We start from the raw sequence: 20,853 nt of genomic DNA, 5'->3' as shown, positions 1-20,853 counted from the left end.
TGACTCAGGAGCCCCGCGCCTAATGCAATGCTGTCTTAAGCAGCTAAGTTTTGGGATTTGTTACACAGCCATAGCAACTGGAACAATGGCCAAGCAGTTGGGCCTTGTGTTGTAAATGGAGATCCCTTTGGAATTTTCTTTCCTTTTTTTTTTTTTTTTTTTTTTGAGATGAAATTTCACTCTTGTTGCCCAGGCTGGAGTGCAATGGCACGATCTCGACTCACCGCAACCTCCGCCTCTCGGGTTCAAGCGATTCTCCTCCTTCAGCCTCCAGAGTAGCTGAGATTAGAGGCGTGCACCACCACGCTTAGCTAATTTTGTATTTTTAGTAGAGACAGGGTTTCTCCATGTTGGTCAGACTGGTCTCAAACTCCTGACCTCAGGTGATCCGCCTGCCTTGGCCTCCCAAAGCGCTGGGATTATAGGCGTGAGCCACCGCGCCCGGCCTGGAATTTTCAAAGAACTAAAGATTTAAATTGCTTCTCCTTGTGGCTGCTGGGTTGGTGTTTCTCCTGAATGTCACACCATGTGCAGAGGGGCTTTAAGGCAGGCAGACAGACCCAGCCTTTCACTGAGCTCAGAGATGTCCAGAGATGGACATCTGTGCACACACCGTGCACAGATGTGGTGACGTGAAGCACGTGGTAATGGAATGACACTGGAACCAGAAATCTACGGTTTCCAAATTTTGTCCTAAGTTACTCATGAAAATCTGGGGCCTGGTCCTTCTCCAAACCTCCCTTGTGGCTGTGCCCCAGGCACAGTGGTTCGGAAGAACGGTTTCAAGAACTGATGGAAACCCACTGGAGAAGTGGCCGTGTGCTGGTTGGGCACGGTGGCTTATGCGTGTAATCCTAGCACTTTGGGAGGCCGAGGCGTGTGGATCACCTGAGGTCAGGAGTTTGAGACCAGCCTGGCCAACATGGTGAAACCCCGTCTCTGCTAAAAAAAAACACAAAAACTAGCCCAGCGTGGTGGCAGTTTCCTGTAATCCCAGTTACTTGGGAGGCTGAGGCAGGAGAATCACTTGAACGCAGAAGGCAGAGGTTGTAGTGAGCCGAGATTGTGCCACTGCACTCCAGCCTGGGCAACGGAGTGAGACTCCATCTCAAAAAAAAAGAAATGGCCATGTGCTCTATAAACCCTCAGATACCATAGTGCCACAGATTCCCGGCTGGCTGGCTGGGGCTTCATCTAGATGCCCAGTCCTGCCTTTTCTCCACCCTGATGTTTGTACCAAGCCATGTCACACAGTGCAAGGAGCACTAGACCAGGAGTCAACACAGGCACTGGCACTACGTGACCTTGCCCTCTTCTCTGGGCCTCAGCTTCCTATTGGGAAAATCTAGGTGTGGTAACCTCTAGGCAAGATGATAGACTGCAATGAGCCAAACTGATACTAAATAATTAAATGAGGGACAGGAAGAGAAAAACTTTCTCTACAGAAGAATGCCACCTAATACATGTAGAAGGAATGACAGAGAGTAACCATTTTGCAATTATTGTAATAATAATAGATTTAGGCAAGAATCCTTAAAAAAGGCCAGGCACGGTGGCTCAAGCCAGTAATCCCAGCACATTGGGAGGTCAAGGCAAGAGAATCACTTGAGCCCAGGAGTTCGAGATCAGCCTGGTCAACGTGGTTAAACTTCATCTCTACAAAAAATACAAAAATTAGCCAGGCATGGTGGCATGGGCCTGTAGTCCCAACTACTCAGGGGGCCGAGGTGGCAGGATCACTTGAGCCCAGAGGGTCAAGGCTGCAGTGACCCATGATTGTACCACTGCACTCCAGCCTAGGCGGCAGAGTGAGACCCTGTCTCAAAAAAAAAAAAAAAAAAAAAAAAAGAATTATCAAAAAATGCTAGAACCATTGTGTGAAAGTTTGTTGGGAACAAGATATTTGCATAGTCTCAGATTATCTGCCCACAAGATACTTATTATTTTTAAAAAAAGTTAATTTACACTGGAGAAAGCTGGCAGACACCACCTTAATCTAATGGTCAATCAAGGTACTGTCACCAGTGATAAGACACATCAGCATCACAAACCCCCGATGAGTTCCACTGAAAAGGGCACAGCATCACTTCTGTGGTATTCTTGCCAAAATGCATAACCTCATGGTGAGAAAACATCAGACAAATCCAATTCAAGGGACATTCTACAAAATGTACTCTTCAAAAGTGTCAAGGGCATGAAAGACAAATAAAGACCAAGGAACTGAAATATATTTGAGGTAAAAAAGGTCAACTAAATGCAAAGTGGGATCCTGGATTGGATTCTGGAACAGAAAAAGGATGTTAGTGGAAAAAAACTGGTGAAATTCAAATGATGTCTGCAGCTTAGTTAACAGTAATATATCAATGTTAATGTCCTGACTTTGACAAATGTACTGTGATTACATAAGCTGCTAACAGGGAAAGGTGGTAAAACTGCTAAAAGAGGAAGCTATGTATGATTTTTGAAACTTTTCTGTAGGTCTAAAGTTATTTCAAAATAAAAAAGTTTAAAAATAAGTATTTTAAAATATTAAAGTTGGACACCTACCTCACACCATATAAAAAATTAAATCGAAGATCTAGATGTAAGAGCTAAAACTAGAAAACTCTTAGAAGAAGACATAGGAGTAAATCTTTGTGACCTTGGATTAGGCAATGGTTTCTTAGATATGATACCAAAAGCACTAGCAACAAAAGAAAAAATAGGTGAATTGGACTTTATCAAAATGAAAAAGTTTTTACCGCAAAAGGCACAGTCAAGAAAGAGGAAAGATAACTCACAAAATGGAAGAAAGTAAAGTATTTGCAAATCATATATAAGAATACCCTTATAAGATAAAATTCTTATAACTCGAATATAAAGAGACAACTAAATTTAAACATGGGCAATAGATATTTCTTCAAGGAAGATTTATAAATTGCTAATAAGCACGTGAAAAGATGCTAAAAATCATTAGCCATCAGGGAAATGCAAATCAAAACCACAATGATACCACTTCATACCCACTAGGATGGCCATAATAAATGTGAGGGTGGGTACGGTGGCTCACACCTATAATCTCAACACTTTGGGAGGCAGAGGCAGGAGGATCACTCAAGTCCAGAAGTTCAAGATGAGTCTAGGTAACATAATGAGACCCCATCTCTCCAAAAAAAAAACTTAAAACATTTAGCAAGGTATGGTGGTGTGTGCTTGTAGTCCCAGCCACTCAGGAGGCTGAGGTGGGTGGATCACTTGAGCGCGGGAGGTCAAGGTTGTAGTTGGCTGTGATTGTACCACTGCACTCCAGCCTAGGTGACAGAGAGAGACCCTTTCTCTAAATAAATAAATAAATAAATGGATGAATAATAACGAGAGTTGGTGAGGATGTGGAAAAATCGGCACCCTCATACACTCCTGGTGTTAATGTAAAATGGCATAGTCACTTCAGAAAAGTCTAGCAGTTCCTTAAAAAGTTAAACATAGAGTTATCATATCACCCAGTCACTCCACTCCTATGTATACACCAACAAAAAGTGAAAACATATGTCCATTCAAATTCATACATGAATATTCACAGCAGCATCATGTATAACAGCCCAAAGGTGGAAATAACCTAAACACCTATCAATTAATGAGCAGATAAATAAATGTGGTACTCCTACACAGCAGAATATTATTCAGTCATAAAAGGGAATGAAGTCCCAGCTACTCAGGAGGCTGAGGCAGGAGAAGGGCATGAAACCGGGAGGCAGAGCTTGCAGTGAGCCGAGATCGAGCCACTGGACTCCAGCCTGGGCGACACAGCGAGACTCCATCTCAAACAAACAAACAAAAAGGAATGAAGTACTGATACATACTGCTACATGGATGAGCCTTGAAAACATTACGTTAAGTGAAAGAAGACAGGAAAAAGGTTACATATTGTATAATTCCACTTACATGATGTGTCCAGAATAGATAAATAGAGACAAGGCCCAAGACAGAGGCTGGAGGGAGGGAGAAATGGGAATGACTGCTAGTGGGTATGGGGTTTCTTCCTGAGATGATGAAAATGTTCTGGAATTAGATAGTGGTTTTGACACAGCAGGTATGTGGGGGAAAAAAAAAGTGGTGATGATTACACAACTTTGTGAATATGCTAAAAGACACGAAATTCTATATATATACATTTTTTGGACTTATCAAAATTAAAAAGATTTTATATATTTTTTCTTCCAACATGTATGTGTTGAGGTTATCTCTGTGTCAGAGACCATGTTGGATGCCAGTGATACAGGAGGAAACAGAATACCTTGCCAGGTGGTGCGCACAGTCTTGTGGGGAAGATTAACAATAAACAAGGAAACAACTCTATAATAAAGAATTGTGAAGTGAGCCGCCACGTGATCCAGTAGAGGCCATGAGGCGGGGTAGTTGAGGGACCTACGCTGGGTGGAGTCACCCTGTGGAAGGACCTTTCAGCTGAGATCTGAAGGATAAGGAGGTGCAGCCTAGTCAAAAGCAATGGGGAAGGTTCTAGCACTGGGAAGAGCAGGGACTGGGGCCCTGAGGTTGGGAAGAGCATGTTCAAGAACACTAAGAAAAGCCAGGGCGGAAGGAAAGAAGTCAGAGACCAAACTGAAGAGTTGGGAAGGGCCCAATCAAGCAGGGCCTTGTAGACCACCGTGTGGATTTCGTATTCTATTCTGATACCAAAAGTTCATTCATTTGCACACCATTTTCATGATTGTCACAATCAAGTTGCTCTTAAATCACCCAGGAAGACATCAAATTGCCTCTTAACAAGGTCAGTGGAGATTCAGGTTCTTTCCACCTTCCCAGTCTCCGACCATCATAAATTACACAATCGAGTTTCCCACATTGGAGAAAATCGCAGGGGTCAGCACATCGGGAGAGCAATACATGAGCCTTGCCCTGAGAAAACCTCCTTCCACTCATGGCATTTCCCCTGCCAGGTAAGTATCCATTCTGCCATCCTTAACGTGTCCTCATGCTCATCGTGTCGGGGTCACAGTATGGTTGCTATAGTTCCAAGGCTTCATGTATCTTTCTCAGGGGGAAGCAAGGGAAGGGACAGCTCTGGCCACATCTGTTCTAAACTGACCTGATGGGTTGGCAGTCTGAACTGAGACCTGATTCTGTCTGGAAATTCCAGACCCAGCTTAGGTCCTAAAGGATGAGGCCTTGGATTCACAGAGCTGTGTTGAAGGAAAAGGCCCTGGCCTCTGGGCCCTTCCTGATTTAAGGATTCTTGAGACAATCTGGGACCAGCCATGGAGCACCCTGCTTCTGGGCTCCCACACTGTTAGCACCAGACAAATCCTCAGACTCTCTTCCCCTGCCCATTGAGCAGAGGCAGGAGAGGGGCAGGGAGTGGACAGAGGTCACACAGCAGATGGGGACATTGCTCTCTCTCCCCTACACCACCCCCACCTGCTAGTCACCTCACTCTCTTCTAACTCTCCTCCCAACTCCCCCCAAGCACTTTTCATGACACCCGTTCTCTGGATCCAGGGAAGGAAACCCTGTGCGGATATTAGCATGATCACAAGAGAACCAAGAAGGCAAATCCACAAAGGCTGCCATCACCACATCCTCAACATCACTGTCATTGTTGTAATATTCCCCAAAGCCCTAAAGAGAAGACGCTGGTGTCTTGAGTTACCTGCACCACAGCCAACTCCTAATTTTTCATGGGATGATTTAGTAAAGCCTTCCCAAGCAGTGGGAATCACAGATTCATAACATCTGCTCATTTGTTGCTTCAATCCACTGAGAAGCCACTATAAGATGAGGCTGTGGCTCTGCAGACAGCAGACTCAATGCAAATCCCAGCCCAAACCCTCACAAGCTGAGTGACCTCAAACATGGCATTTTCACTACTTTGTGCCCAGTTTTCTCATTAGTAAAATGGGGATGATGATAACACCTACCTGAAAGATTTGTTGGGATGATTAAAAGATCATGCATGCGAAATGTTAGAGTGTCCAGCAGACTTAGCTAATGGTAAGCAGCAAATATTTCCTGAGCACCACGCAGCAGGGCAGCTACCCCTCCTATCCCTTTTCCCCTTTCTCTACAGTAAAAGAATTTTCAGCATTTACTTGGGAAAATGTAGCCTGTATTTCCCTGAATAAAAACTACATTTTCCAGATTCGGCCAGGCACAGTGGCTCACGCCTGTAATCCCAGCACTTCAGGAGGCCGAGGAGGGCGGATCACGAGGTCAGGAGATCAAGACCATCCTGGCTAACACAGTGAAATCTCGTCTCTACTAAAAATACAAAAAATTAGCTGGTCGTGGTGGCGGGCACCTGTAGTCCTACTCGGGAGGCTGAGGCAGGAGAATGGCGTGAACCTGGGAGGTGGAGCTTGCAGTGAGCCGAGATTGTGCCACTGCACTCCAGCCTGGGCGACAGAGCAAGACTCCATCTCAAAAAAAAAAAACAACATTTTCCAGATTCCCTTGTAGCTGGGTTTGGCCACATGGTTAAGGTCTGGCCAGTAAGCTGTGAGAGACTCCTGAGTTGTGTCCTTCAAGGGATGGGCTTGCCTTTTCTTTCTCTCTCTCTCTTTTTTTTTTTGAGTCAGGGTCTCGCTCTGTCACCCAGGCTGGAGTGCTATGGTGTGATCACAGCTCACTGCAGCCTCGACCTCTTCGGCTCAAGCAATTTTCCCATCTCAGCCTCCCAAGTAGCTGGGACTACAGGCACACACCACCATGCCTGGCTAACTTTTTAAAAAATTTTTTGTAGAGACAGGGTCTTGCCATGTTGCCCAGGTTGGTCTTGAACTCCTGGACTCAAGCAATCCTCCTGCCTTGGCCTCCCAAAGTGCTGGAATTATAGGTGTGAGCCACTGCACCTGGCCTATGCCTTTTATTGCCTCCTGCCTACCTCCTGCTGTTTGGAATGTGAAAGCAAGACTGGAGCTCTACCTTGGACTATGAAAAACAAGGACCTCACCTAAGGGATAGTAGAATGGAAAGACAGAAGCAGATGGATCCCACATTTCTGTGGGGCCCCCTTACCATCTCTGAACTTCCTACATATGGACTTCAATGAGACAGATAAACTTCTAGCATGTCGAAGCCTCTTTTACTTTGGGTTTCCATTGCATACATCCAAACCTTAGCCATAACTAATAGCACCTACTCTGTGCCAGGCATCACATGCTGGTTTGTCTCAATCAGTATCCCCAGAGGCCAGCATGAAAGAAGAAAGGTAGGCTTACAGGCCAAAGTCACAGAACTAGCAAGTGGCCAGGGAAGAGCAGTCCTTGATCTGGACCCGTCACTGGAGGATCCAGGCCACAGGTCTGTGGTAGCTACATTCCTAGTTTCTACTGAAAACCACAGGACACAAACGTGCCTGGGTTTGAATCCTGCTCTGATGCTTACAATGCTGTGTGACCTTAAGCAATTGGTTTCCTAACTCTGAACATAATCTTATCTTACGGTTTAGTTGGAAGGCTTAAATAAGACAGAGATGATAGTGATAATGTGCCTGGCACATTGTGGGTGCTAAATAAATGTCACAGCCACTTTGGGACAAGTCCCAGTGGCCACCCAGGGGAACTGGGAGAAAAACAAAGGAAGACAAGGACCTGTGAGACAAAGGGAAGGAGGGACAAGGCTGGGGGGAGGGTCTTACTCCTTCACTTCCACCCATCCTGGCCTGTGGCGAAGGACGTCCATGAGTGTGTTCATGAGGGTGGTCTTGAACCGGATCGATGCTCTCTGCTCTCTGCAAGACAAGGCAATGAACATTTGCTCAGGATCAATGATTTTCCTAGGATGGCGCAAGGAGAGGAAAAAAGGAGGAAGAGAAGTCAAGTTCCATACCTGGAAAGTTCCACACTGTATTTCAGAATTTAGCATTAGAGCATGATAACACTTAACATAATCAGATTGAGAATTACAGAATCTTCAAATCATTGAAAAATAACGATCATTGTATCCAAGCCTACTATGTGCCAGGCATGGTCTGGTTGCTTTCCATGTGCTATGACTAATCCTTACATGAAATGATAAGTATTTGCAAAGCCCTCTCCTGGCAATCATCTGGGAAGATGAAGCAGATGTACTTTTTCCTATTCCTCCTACTGATACAACTGAAAACTCAAGATACTATCTATAAAACAAATATAAGACTGAAAGAGAAGAAGGCAGACTGGCTGGAGATTTCAGGACCACGGGAACTACATGGTGGTGAATTCCCTGGGTTTCCTTTTTGTCTCATATAGTTCAGATATGGAGATGAAAAGCCACCAACCCAGAAATGCCAATGGGCATAGACGACAAAAGCTTCGACAAAAGCACCCCGTCCTAGCCAAAGGACCAAGAAAGGAGCGGCCTAGCCAGACAGAGGACTTGGGCAATCACTGCTCTACTCCAGCCAGACCCCCAAGAACACATCTGTGGCCCACTCCCAGTGATGCCAGGAAAGGCCGAGTAGGGAGTCCAGACTTCCCCTGAGTTTGCAGCAGGGCACCCAACACCCCCGCTCGGTGCTGTCAGAGAAGGCCACAGACAGAGCCAGGCTTTCATCCCTGCCAGGCGGTAATGAGCCTCCCACCCCCACTGCAGCAGTGGAGACCATGTGTGGAGCCTGGACTTCCTCCCCAGTCTGGCCGTAATGAAGTGCCCCTCCCACTCTGGGGTGATGTTAAAGGGGGCCTAGAGGAGAGCTGGAAATCAATAAAATCAAAAACAGAAAAACATTATAGCAAATCAGTAAAATAAAAGGCAAGTTCTCTGGAAAGATCAATAAAATCTACAAACCTATTTGTCAGCAAGACTGACAAAGGAAAGACTCAACTACCCAATATGAGGACTGAAACAGAGGCTACCGCTATGGAGCCCGCAGGTATCACAGCCACAATAAGGAAATGCTACTAACAGCTCTACACACCTACATTTGACAGCTTAGATGAAATGGAACAATTCCTCAAAAAGCACAATTACTACAACTCATCCAATATGAAATAGGTAATTTGAATAGCTCTATAGCTATTAAGGAAATTGAATTCATAATTCAAAACCTCCCAAAAAAGAAATCTCCAGGCTCAGTGGTTTCACTGGAGAATTTCCCCAAATATTTGAAGAAGGATTAACACCAATCCTACACAATCTCTTCCAGAAAATAGAAGAGGAGGGAGAATTTCCTAATTCATTTTGCCAAGCTAGTATTAACCTGATATCAAAACCAAAGACAGTACACAAGAAGTAAACCACAGACCAATATCCCTTATGAATGTAGATGGAAAAATCCTTAACAAAATGCAATCAAATAGAATTCAGCAATATATAAAAAGGACTATACACCATAACCAAGCGGAGTTTATTCCAGTAGGCAAGGCTGGTTCAATATTCAAAAATTAATCCATGAGCCAGGCATGGTGTCTCACGCCTGTAATCCTAACCCTTTGGGAGGCTGAGACAGGCAGATTACTTGAGGTCAGGAGTTCAAGACCAGCCTGGCCAACATTGTGAAATCCCATTTCTACTAAAAATACAAAAATTAGTCAGGCGTGGTGGTGGGCACCTGTAGTCCCAGCTACTCAGGAGGCTGAGGCAGGAGAATCGCTTGAATTGGGGAGGCAGAGGTTGCAGTGAGCCGAGATAGCACCACTGCACTCCAGTGTGGGCGACAGAGAGAGACTGTCTCAAAAAAAACCAAAACAACAACAAAAAAAACAATGTAATCAGTCATATTAACAGACTAAAATGGAGAAATCACATGATTATATCAATTGATGCAGAAAAGGCATTTGACAAAAATTAAACACTCATTCATTTAAAAACTCTGAGAGGAACTTCATCAACTTGATAAAAGCATCTTAAAAAAACTCGAGCTAACATTATAATTAGTGGTGTGTGAAAGTTGTCAGATTCAAAATGGAATCACTTGTGTCAAACCCTGGCAAAATAGGGCCAGGGGGCCGGGCTAGGTGGCTCACGCCTATAATCCCAGCTCTTCGGGAGGCTGAGGCGGGCAGATCATTTGAGGTCAGGAGCTGGAGACCAGCCTGACCAACATGGTGAAACCGCGTCTCTACTAAAAATACAAAAAAATCAGGCCGGGCGCAGTGGCTCATGCCTGTAATCATAGCACTCTGGGAGGCTGAGGCAGGCAGAACACCTGAGATCAGGAGTTCCAGACCAGCCTGGACAACATGGTGAAACCCCATCTCTACTAAAAATACAAACATTAGCCGGGCATGGTGGCTGGTGCCTGTAATCCCAGCTACTGGGGAGTCTGAGGCAGGAGAATCGCTTGAACCCGGGAGATGGAAGTTGCAGTGTGCCGAGACTGTGCCACTGCACTCCAGCCTGGGCAAGAGAGCGAGACCCTGTCTCAATAAATAAATAAATAAATAAATAAATAAATAAATAAATAAATACATGAATAACCTTACTGTTCCAGAAGGCAGAGGGACTGAAATGGGTTGGCATGGCTGCATTCCTTTTGGAGGCTCTATGGGAGAATTTGTTTCCTTGCCTTTCCCAGCTTCTAGCCGGGCATGGTGGCATGTGCCTGTAATCCCAGCTACCCGGGAGGCTGAGGCAGGAGAATCGTTGGAACCTGGGAAGCAGAGCCTGCAGTGAGCCGAGATCACACCACTGCTCTCCAGCCTGGGCTACAGAGTGAGACTCCATCTCAAAAAATAAAAAGTAAAAAAATAAAAATACAGAGCCAGGAAAGGTCATGAAGGGAGGAGTCTCATGCATGATTTGCCAGATAATAAGAACTTTCACAAGAACATTTTCCAAACCACAGCTTCCCACATGAGACAAGAGTACTGCTAACAGCACAAGGGCAGCTAGCAGCTAACACAGGAACACTAGCCTGACACGGTTTCTCAGGCCCAATCCAAAACTGCAAGGGCCTAACAAGAACTCCGAGACTCCAAGTCCTACCTAGCAACTACTGACACTCACCAATCTGCTACTGAACTCGCCAGCTCTCATAAAAAACACTGCTAGCGCCAATGAACTTTCTTTTGAAACAACTTACGTAAATCTCCTCTTTCCCCAAGAGAACCCTAAACTTTTCCTTTGTTCTCAGACATGCTGGGGGCTGCCCTAGTCTATGTGGACATCCTGGATTGCAGTTCTACTTCTTGTATATTATTCCCAAATAAAACCTTTTTACTTGGAGATTTGTCTCTATTTTTTTATGTTGATGGATGAAAAACTGGAGTTGGAGACCAGACTGGGCAACATAGTGAGACACTGTCTCTAAAAATAAAAATAAATTAAACAATAATCAGCACTGCAGCCCCACATAGCTCAAATACTAACAAGCTCAAGACGGCAGTGAAGGAGGTTGGATTGGAGTACACGCAATTTAATTAAAGCTGCAGCCCAACCCATGTTCAACTCAGCTTTAGGAGGAATCTGAATGATCAGCCCCTAAACCTGCTAGTCAGAGGAAGGAGCTCGCATACTCTATAAAGTGTGTGTACGTATGTGTGTGTGTGTGTGTGTGTGTGTATATACATGTATATATATATAAAGTGTGTGTATGTATGTGTATATATGTATATGTATATAAAGACTAAAAAATTATGATATACAATTGTTTTTCATACACAATATCCAGAGTGCAGTTCTAAAAATATAACACATGCAATAGCAAAGCAGGGAAATGTAATACATAATCAAGAGGAAAAAGAGCCAACTGAAATAAACCCATAAATGACCCAGTTATCAGAATCATTAGAGAAGAAATTTAAAAATTATTATAAATATGTTATAGGATTTATGGGAAAAGATGGATACAATGTGTGAATAGATGAGTTACTGCAGAAAAGAACCAAATGGCCAAGTGGCTCATACCTGTAATCCCAATACTTTGGGAGGCTGAGGTGGCAGGATCACCCAGGAGTTCAAGACCAGCCTGTGCAACACAGTGAGACCCCATTTCTACACAAAGTTTTAAAATTAGCCAGGCATGGTGGTACGTGCCTGTAGTCCCAGCTACCTGGGGAGCTGAGGTGGGAGGATCACTTGAGCCCAGGAGGTTAAAGCTGCAGTGAGCCATGATCGCACCACTGCACTCCAGCCTGTGTGACAGAGCAAGACCCTGTCTCAAAAAAAAAAAAAAAAAAAAAAAGAACCAAATGGAAATTCTAGAAGGGAAAACTATAATATCTGAAATTGAAAGTTCAATGGATGTGCTTAACAAGAGACTAGGCATTGAGAAGGAAAAACCGTACATTTGAAAACAGTCTAATTGAAATTGTTCAAATTGAATTAGAGAAAAAATTTATACATGAACAGAACCTCAGTGACTCGTGAGATAATATCAAGCAGTCTAACATACATATAACTGAAGTTCAAGAAAGAGATGGGGAAGAGATAGGACAGAAAATATTTTTTGAAGAAATGATGGCTAAAAAATTTTCCAAATTTGATTAAATTATCAACTCACAGATCCAAGATGCTCAATTAACCCCAAGCAAGACAGACACAACGTAAACTACACCCAGGTAAACCATAGTCAAATTGCTGAAAAACAGAACAGTCTTAAAAAAAAAAAAAAGCCTGAGGAAAAAAGACACATCGCATAGAGGGGTGAGGGTGGTGGAGAGTGGGAGTGGAAGACAAGAACAGCTGACTTTGGCTAGGCGCAGTGGCTTACGCCTGTAATCCCAGAACTTTGGGAGGCTGAGGCAAGCGGATCACCTGAGGCCAGGAGTTCAAGACCAGCCTAACCAACATGGAGAAATCTGGTCTCTACTAAAAATACAAAAATTAGCCAGGCGTAGTGGCGGGTACCTGTAATCCCAGCTATTCAGGAGGCTGAGGCAGAAGAATCCCTTGAACCTGGGAGGTGGAGGTTGCAGTGAGCCGAGATTGCACCATTGCACTCCAGCCTAGGTGACAGAGCAAGACTCTGTCTCAAAAAAAAAAAAAAAAAGAAAAAGAACAGCTGACTTCACATCAGAAACAACATAAGCCTGAAGACAAAGGAATATCATCTTTCAAGTGCTTAAAGAAAAAAAGATCAACCTCGAATTCTATATCCAGTAAAACTTTACTTAAAATATGACAGTGAAATAAAGACAATTTTCAAATAAATAAAAGCTGAGAGAATTTATTGCCAACAGATCCACACTATAAGAAACACTAAAGAACGTTCCTCGGGCTGCAGGAAAATTATACCAGATGGAAATTCAGAAGGAATGATGAGTGGGGTAAATATGGAATACTTTCTTCCATGTCTTAATTAAAAAAAAAATTCAAGTAGCTATTTAAAGCAAATATAGTGAGAATGTAATGAAGGGTTTATAACATATTTACAAGTAAATATATGACAAAAATAGCAGCACAAACGATCAGAGGGGAGCAAACAGAAGTGTGTTGCTGTAGGGTTCTTAGTTGTGCATGAAGTGGTGTAATTATGCTTCAAGGTAGACTGTGATAAGGTAAGGATGCATATTGTAATCCCCTAGAGCCATAGGTTGTGAAGTGTGGTCTCAAGTATTCCTCAGGGTCCCCAACTCTTTTTCAAGGGTACACAAATCTTCCCTTTTCCAAATACTATCTTTGTGAGGCTAGATTTTCTTCCTGTCCTTCAACCAAAACAATCTATCACAGCAGATTGAACACAGAAGATCTGGAAAGTCAAATGTTTTCTAATAAGCCAGACGTTAAAGAGAGTCACAAAAATGTAAAACGACTACTACTCATCTCAGTACATTTTGGTGGGGAAATATAACTATAACTCACAAAAATGTTGGGCCGAACACAGTGGCTCACACCTGTAAACCCAGAGCTTTGGGAGGCCGAAGCAGGTGGATCACTTGAGGTCAGGGGTTCCAGACCAGCCTGGCCAACATGGTGGCCGTCTCTACTAAAAATACAGAAATTAGCCAGGCGTGATGGCCTGTAATCCCAGCTACTTGGGAGGCTGAGGCACGAGAATCACTTGAACCCAGGAGGCAGAGTTTGCAGTGAGCTGAGATCACACCAGTGCACTCCAGCCTGGGTGACAGAGTGAGACCCTGTCTCAAAAAAAAAAAAAAAGAAAGTTTATGCTACCATGTAATGAGTATTTTTTTGCTTTTTAAATGAATTAATAAGTATTTTAAAAATTTATCGGCTTAGGCCAGGCATGGTGGCTCATGCCCGTAATCCCAGCACTTTGGGAGGCCAAGGCGCGTGGATCACCTGAGGTCAGGAGTTCAAAACCAGCCTGGCCAACATGGTGAAACCCCATCTGTACTAAAAATACAAAAATTAGCTAGATGTGGTGGTGCATGCCTGTAATCCCAGCTACTCGGGAGGCCGAGGCAGGAGAATTGCTTGAACCCCAGAGACGGAGATTGCAGTGAGCCAAGATCGTACCACTGCACTCCAGCCTGGGTGACAGAGTGAGACTCCATCTCAAAAATAAAATAAAATAAAATTTATCAGCTTAAATTTTTAATATGGTACACATTGTTAGATGTATGCCACATATACAAAAGTCAATTGGGTTCACAATTATTTTTAAGTTGTAAAGGGACCCACCCTGAGCTTAAACTTTTAGAACCACTGCTCTAAAGTAACCATTTAAAATATCAAATAGGCTGGGCATGGTGGCTCATGCCTGTAATCCCAGCACTTTGGGAGGCCAAGGTGGGAGGATCACTTGAGCCCTGGAATTTGAGACCAGCCAGAGCAACATAGCAAGACCTCATCTCTACAAATAATATGAAAAAAAAAAAAGATAAAATAAGGAGGTTTAGCTAAAAGTCAATAGAGGAGACAACATGAACTACTAAAAATACATGCAATAGACCCGAAACGACAAAGAGATACAATTTCAAAATCCATCAGTTTGCAGAAAATATTAAAAATCAGACAAATACCAAATATTCACAAGAATGTGGAGAAATGACAATTATCTTACAATGCTGATGGGGTGCACATTGGACATACCTTTGGAGAGCAATTTGGCATATTACAAAGATCAAGGACTATGTCACACACATCAGACTGGCAAAAATATAAAGGTCCAAGTTTTGGCAACAATGGAATACAATGGAAACTCCTCCTCTGCTGGTAGAACACACTTTGCAGGGTCACCGGGCGGTTTTTAGTAAAGTCGAATATGCACGTACCCTAAACTCAGCAACCTGTCCTAGCTCTATACCCTGGGTTTGTACTCTGCATTTCTACCAGGAAACACGTGAGCAAGGATGCTTATATGTAATTGTTAATATTTTTTATAGAAATAACCTGTGGCACAACTGTTGGTGGTCCACCCATATCCCTTTGGCATTCACCACTCCTGTGCATGCAAATCAAAGAGCTTCCCACTGCCAGCACCTTCGATGCTACCTGAGGGTTTTCCCTGGCCCCCGGAGTCTGCTCAGCCAGCATGTGGAGCAGATTGGAAGCACCAGCGTGAACTGACCCTCTGCCAACAGCATACAACCAGTGACGACTGGAGTTGGTGGATAAATCCGCTAAGTCTCTCATCTCTCACTTAGGATAAGTCTGCAGTGCATTCTACGTTCTCCCAGGAATTCCCTGGGGGATTCAGCCCACTGTCCACAGCAATTACCTGTCGATGATGCACCTTTTACTGGTTTCTCTCCTTAGCTGTCTTATTTCCCCACTTCCCTGTCAGTGCTCACTGGAATTACCTTCCAAATAAACCACTTGCTCTCACATCCTTCCCTCAGGGTCAGTTTCTAGTGGAACCAATACTTCGTAAGTGCCTTTCCACAGGAAGATGGGTAAATAACTTGCGATACACAATGAAACAGAGGTAGCAGTTAAAATGCATTCAGAGCTACAGGTGCCAATGTGGATAAACACCAAACATATCATTTTGTGTGACAAAAGCAGGGTGCAGAATAGTAATAACAGTACAACAACACTTACATAACTTGTATTCCTAGCTACTCATGCAGTTGGGGTGGCCATGTGACACAATTCTAGTCAATAAGATAGAAACATAAGACTGCTAGAAAGGGTAAGTTCCTGGGAAAGTTTTGCTCTTTTGATGAAAGAAAGAGAAAGAAAGAAAGAAAGAAAGAAAGAAAGAAAGAAAGAAAGAAAGAAGGAAGGAAGGAAGGAAGGAAGGAAGGAAGGAAGGAAGGAAGGAAGGAAGGAAGGGAGGGAAAGAAAGCAAGAAAGCAAGAAAGCAAGAAAGAAAGAGAAAGAAAGAAAGAAGGAAGGAAGGAAAGAAAGAAAGAAAGAAAGAAAGAAAGAAAGAAAGAAAGAAAGAAAGAAAGAAAGAAAGAGAGAGATGTGGCTTGATTCTTCCCTCCCCTCTTCTTCCTGTCCTGATCATGACATGAAGGCTGGAGCTGTAGTGGCCATTTGGTCTCCATGAGGAAGAGGTCAAGACAATCATGAAGGCTCATGCCTGTAATCCCAACACTTTGGGAGGCCGAGGTGGGATGATCACTTGAGGCCAGGTGTTGGAGACCAGCCTGGGCAACATAGTGAGACCTCATAACTACAAAAAAAAAAAAAAATTAAAAAAATTAGCTAGGCCGGGCACCGTGGCTCACACCTGTAACCCCAGCATTTGGGAGGCCAAGGCAGGTGGATCACAAGATCAGGAGTTCGAGACCAGTCTGGCCAATATGGTGAAACTCCGTCTCTACTAAAAATACAAAAATTAGCCAGGTGTGGTGATGGGTGCCTGTAGTCCCAGCTACTAGGGAGGCTGAGGCAGGAGAATCACTTGAACCCGGGAGGCAGAGGTTGTAGTGAGCTGAGATCACGCCACTGCACTCCAGCCTGGGCAACAGAGCAAGAGTCTAAAAAAAAAAAAAAAAAATTAGCCAGGTGCACTGGCATGAGCCTGTAGTCCCAGCTACTCAGAAGGCTGAGATGGGAGGATTGCATGAGCCTGGGAGATCAAGGCTGCAGTGAGCCATGATCGCACCACTGCACTCCAGCCAACAGAGTGAGACTCCGTCTCAAAAAAAGAAAAAAAAGGCAATCATGAAGATGCTGGCTCTGACATTATTGAACCACTGTACCAGCACTCCAGACTCTTTTTCTTCACTCTTTGTGAATAAAATAAATACAATTTGTTTAAGCTACTATTATGAGTTTTCTCTTACTGGTAGTGGAACACATATCTATATGTGCCCTCAATAAGGCACATAAATAAAAAATATTTTATGGTAAATATATGTGTGTGTGTGTGTGTGTGTGTGTGTGCCTTTATAAAATAAGTAGATGGGGCCTTGATATGGTTTGGATGTTTGTCCCCTCCAAATCTCAAGTTAAAATGTGATTCTCAATGTTGAAAGTGGGGCCTGGTGGGAGGTGGTTGGATCCTGAAAATGGATCCCTCATGAATGGTTTGGCAACATCCCCTTGGTGATAAGTGAGTTTTCACTTAGTTCACGGGAGATCTGGTTGTTTAAAAGAGCCTGGGACCTCTCCCTTGTTCCCACTCTTGCCGTGTGACATGCCTGCTCCCCCTTTGCCTTCCACCATGATTGTAAGCTCCCTGAGGCCTCACCAGAAGCTGAGCAGATGCTGGTGCCATGCTTGTACAGCCTGTAGAAACATGAGCCAATTACACCTCTTTTCTTTATAAATTACTCAGTCTCAATTAGCCAGGCGTGGTGGCGGGCACCTGTAATTTCAGCTACTCGGGAGGCTGAGGCAGCAGAATCGCTTGAACCCAGGAGGCAGAGGTTGCAGTGAGCCGAGATCAGGCCATTGCACTCCAGCCTGGGCAACAAGAGCGAAACTCTGTCTCAAAATAAATAAATAAATAAAAAGTCTCAGGTATTCCTTTATAGCAATGCAAAAACAGCCTAACACAGGCCTGTTAAGTGCTCTTTGTTTTGTTAAGGTGGGCATGTATGTTTAGGGCCAGGATTCAGAACATTGCTGAATTGCACTACATAAGAGAGTGAGAGATTTGAAGTTGGTGGGATAGTCAGTATGGAGAGAAAGAAGGCAAAGAAGATGGGCACTGCATGAGAGAAGCATCTCAAATCACACATGCCCTCCTCAGTGGTAGTATAGCCAGGAGGGACTTTAGAAATAACAAAAATATCTGGCTGGGCGTGGTGGCTCACGCCTGTAATCCCAACACTTTGGGAGGCCGAGGCAGGCAGATCACCTGAGGTCGGGAGTTCGAGACCAGCCTGACCAACATGGAGAAATCCTGTCTCTACTAAAAATACAAAATTAGCTGGTCACGGTGGCGCATACCTGTAATCTCAGCTACTCGGGAGGCTGAGGCAGGAGAATCACTTGAACCCGAGAGGCAGAGTTTGCCATCAGCTGAGATTGTGCCATTGCACTCCAGTCTGGGTAACAAGAGTGAAACTCAAAAGAGAAGAGAAGAGAAGAGAAGAGAAGAGAAGAGAAGAGAAGAGAAGAGGAGAGGAGATATCTAATGAACCAAAGAATAAACTATCTAAAACATTTGCTATGTAAACTACCTCCTCTAACTCCCCACAAAAATCTTCAGTAAAGTCTACGTTGCTCACTCCTCCTTTGTGCAAGTGGATTCTCTTTAGGAGATCCAAAGGGGTGCTGGGTTTGGCATGCAGGTTATCCATGCAGAGTGAAGCAGAAGATCAGAGCACAGCTGACATGCAAGTCATCAAGTCATCACAGGGTTGTTGAAGGAGGCAGGAGAGACCAAAGTTAGACAGTGGGCCCTGGAGTCCAACTAGCTCTGCCCCTAACTGATCATGTGATCTTGAGCAAGTCACTTAGCCTTTTTGAGCTTCCGTTTCTCCATCTGTAAAATGGACACAATAGTAGTATCTACTTCAAATGGTTGTGGTCAGGATTCAATGAGCTAATACAGGTAAAGTGACAGGCCCAGAGCCTGGCACATGGTAAGTGCTCAATAATGGTTTAGCATTACTCCTTCTACTATCATTTTCATTATAATTGTTGAAGTAGAAAAGGGAGAGAGGGATTGAAAAGGGGAGGGAGGGAGAGAAGTTGGTTGCGCTGTGATTGTTGGATTGGATGGGACCACTCACCGCTCTTTTCCCTTTGACAATCCATGGCCCTTGTAATTTTGGTTCTGCAATGAGGAAAGGAAAAGGATGTAACTGGTTTTGTATATCTGCCCTGTTTTCCCAGGTTAACTTACTGCAGATATTAAAATGCCCAAACCGTCAGACTCAACAATGCCTAGGTTCTGAGACACGAAGGTCCAGCCTGATCAAGTTCCCACTGGCCACCATGTCCCCAGCAAATGGACCAGAATTTATCTGCTGTGAATGAACTCCCAAGTATCCAAGGTACCACCTTACTGCAGGTTTGCTCCACAGGTATGACCAGTATAGCAAATGCCTGGTTTTCAGTACTCCAAAGGTCAGCCCTGAACCCCAGTTTTGAAAGCTCAGTTCAATACACTCTGTGAGAAGAATCTGAGCTTTTGTTGTTGTTGTTGTTGTTGAGATGGAGTCTCGCTCTGTCACCCAGGCTGGAGTGCAGTGGTGTAATCTCAGCTCTCTGCAACTTCCACCTCCCAGGTTCAAGTGATTCTCCTGCCTCAGCCTCCCTAGTAGCTGGAATTACAGGCACCCACCACCACACCCAGCCAATTTTGTATTTTTAATAGAGATGGGGTTTCGCCATGTTGGCCAGGCTTGTCTGGAACTCCTGACCTCAGGTGATCCACCCACCTCAGCCTCCCAAAGTGCTGGAATTACAGGTGTGAGCCACCGTACCCAGCTGATCTGGACTTTTTACTCTTAACTTGGAATGTTTGATTAAATTGAGGATCCCAGAAGGGGCTAGGTCAAAGACTCAGAGCAATGTTCATTCCTTTCACCCCAATTGGACCTTTCAAATCCTCAGTGGGTGGTGGGTATTATTTCACTTCAACCATGTCCAAAACAGCTTGGCCCTCTGTCCTGGGAAGACCAATTCCTAAGGCACGTATGAAGAGAGAAATCGAAATTGGTCCTGTGCAGGATGACATTTGCAGCTGGGACAGACCTGCCATCTGCATTCATTTTCTATTGCTGGGTAACAAATTACCACAAAATCAGTGGCTTAAAATGATGGGAATCCATTATCTCAGTTTCCATGGGCCAGGAGCGTGGGCATGACTTAGCTGCATCATTGGCTCAGCTCTCACAAGGCCACAGTCAAGGTGATGGCTGGGGTTATGGCTCTCATCTGGCGTGTGGGGTCCCCTTCCAAGCTCATTCAGGTTGTAGGCAGAATTCAGTTGCCTAGGGTTGTAGGACGGAGGTCCCTGTTTACTTGCTAGCTGTCTGCTGGGGACTGCTCTCAGCTCCTAGAGGCTGCCTGCAGCTCCCTGCAGTGTGGCCCCCACAGGCACTTCACAACATGCAAATTTGTTTTCCTCCAGGCCACATGGAGCACGTCCCTCTGACTTCCAATCCTCCCCTCTCCAAGTCACCTATGATGGAGTCTTAAGTAATGGAAGGTAACCACCATAGTAACCACACCATCAAATTCACAGACTCCTCCATGCTCAAGGAGAGAGAATTGTACAAGGCATGTACTCTAGGGGGTGGGAATCTTGGGGCCCATCTGAGAATTCTGCTTAGCACACCAGCCTACCCCTCAAAGAGCGGCGGAGAGGAGTGGAGGAAACTGCTTTACAAAACTGGCAGAAGCAAGCCCCACTGAAACACAGTGAAATCTTGTTTCATTCTTCCATTCAAGCCCTTCCAACTCCCCCAACACTAGTCAAGCTGTCCTTGTCTTTTTGTATTTTATCTTTAATCCTCTCTCATGCTTTCAATTCCATTTTCCATATGTTTATCCAGTTGCTCCAGAGCCTTTGGTTAAAAAAATTTTCCTCTCCTCATTGAATTGCATTGGCACGTCTGTCACAATTCAATTGACCATGCATACGTGGATCTATCTCGAGACTGTGTTTTGTTCTATTTA

General features: G+C 44.3%; 1 protein-coding gene and 1 pseudogene across 10 annotated transcripts in view, besides 1 other annotated feature; both read right to left on the bottom strand.

Annotated features, from left to right (window-relative positions):
* TTLL9 (tubulin tyrosine ligase like 9) overlaps positions 1–20,853 on the bottom strand; it is a 74,367-nt gene that overhangs the window by 38,802 nt on the left and 14,712 nt on the right. For 9 of the 10 annotated variants that reach the window (NR_148014.3, NR_134519.4, NR_148012.3 and 6 more), the window contains 2 exons: positions 18,960–19,003; positions 7,634–7,726 (listed from right to left, as the gene is read on the bottom strand). Coding sequence is in view for 2 of the 10 variants with exons in the window: in NM_001008409.5 (NP_001008409.1) it covers positions 7,634–7,726; positions 18,960–19,003 (137 nt within the window). In the remaining 8 variants the exon portion in view is untranslated. The remainder of the gene's footprint in view (positions 1–7,633; positions 7,727–18,959; positions 19,004–20,853) is intronic. The other variant, NR_160277.2, reaches the window with a different exon arrangement.
* RNU1-94P (RNA, U1 small nuclear 94, pseudogene) lies at positions 4,773–4,945 on the bottom strand (annotated as a pseudogene).
* Positions 11,064–11,113: an enhancer, noted in NCBI's record as "active region_17702". NCBI's record gives its function as "activates an Ori minimal core promoter by ATAC-STARR-seq in GM12878 lymphoblastoid cells {active_cell/tissue: GM12878}" and the evidence as "EXISTENCE:reporter gene assay evidence [ECO:0000049][PMID:35858748]".

This window comes from Homo sapiens, chromosome 20, assembly GCF_000001405.40.
Source record: "Homo sapiens chromosome 20, GRCh38.p14 Primary Assembly".
In the NCBI taxonomy this organism is placed as follows: Eukaryota; Metazoa; Chordata; class Mammalia; order Primates; family Hominidae; genus Homo; species Homo sapiens.
Note: the sequence above shows the minus strand (reverse complement) of the source record. Positions and strands in the feature narration are given on the sequence as shown.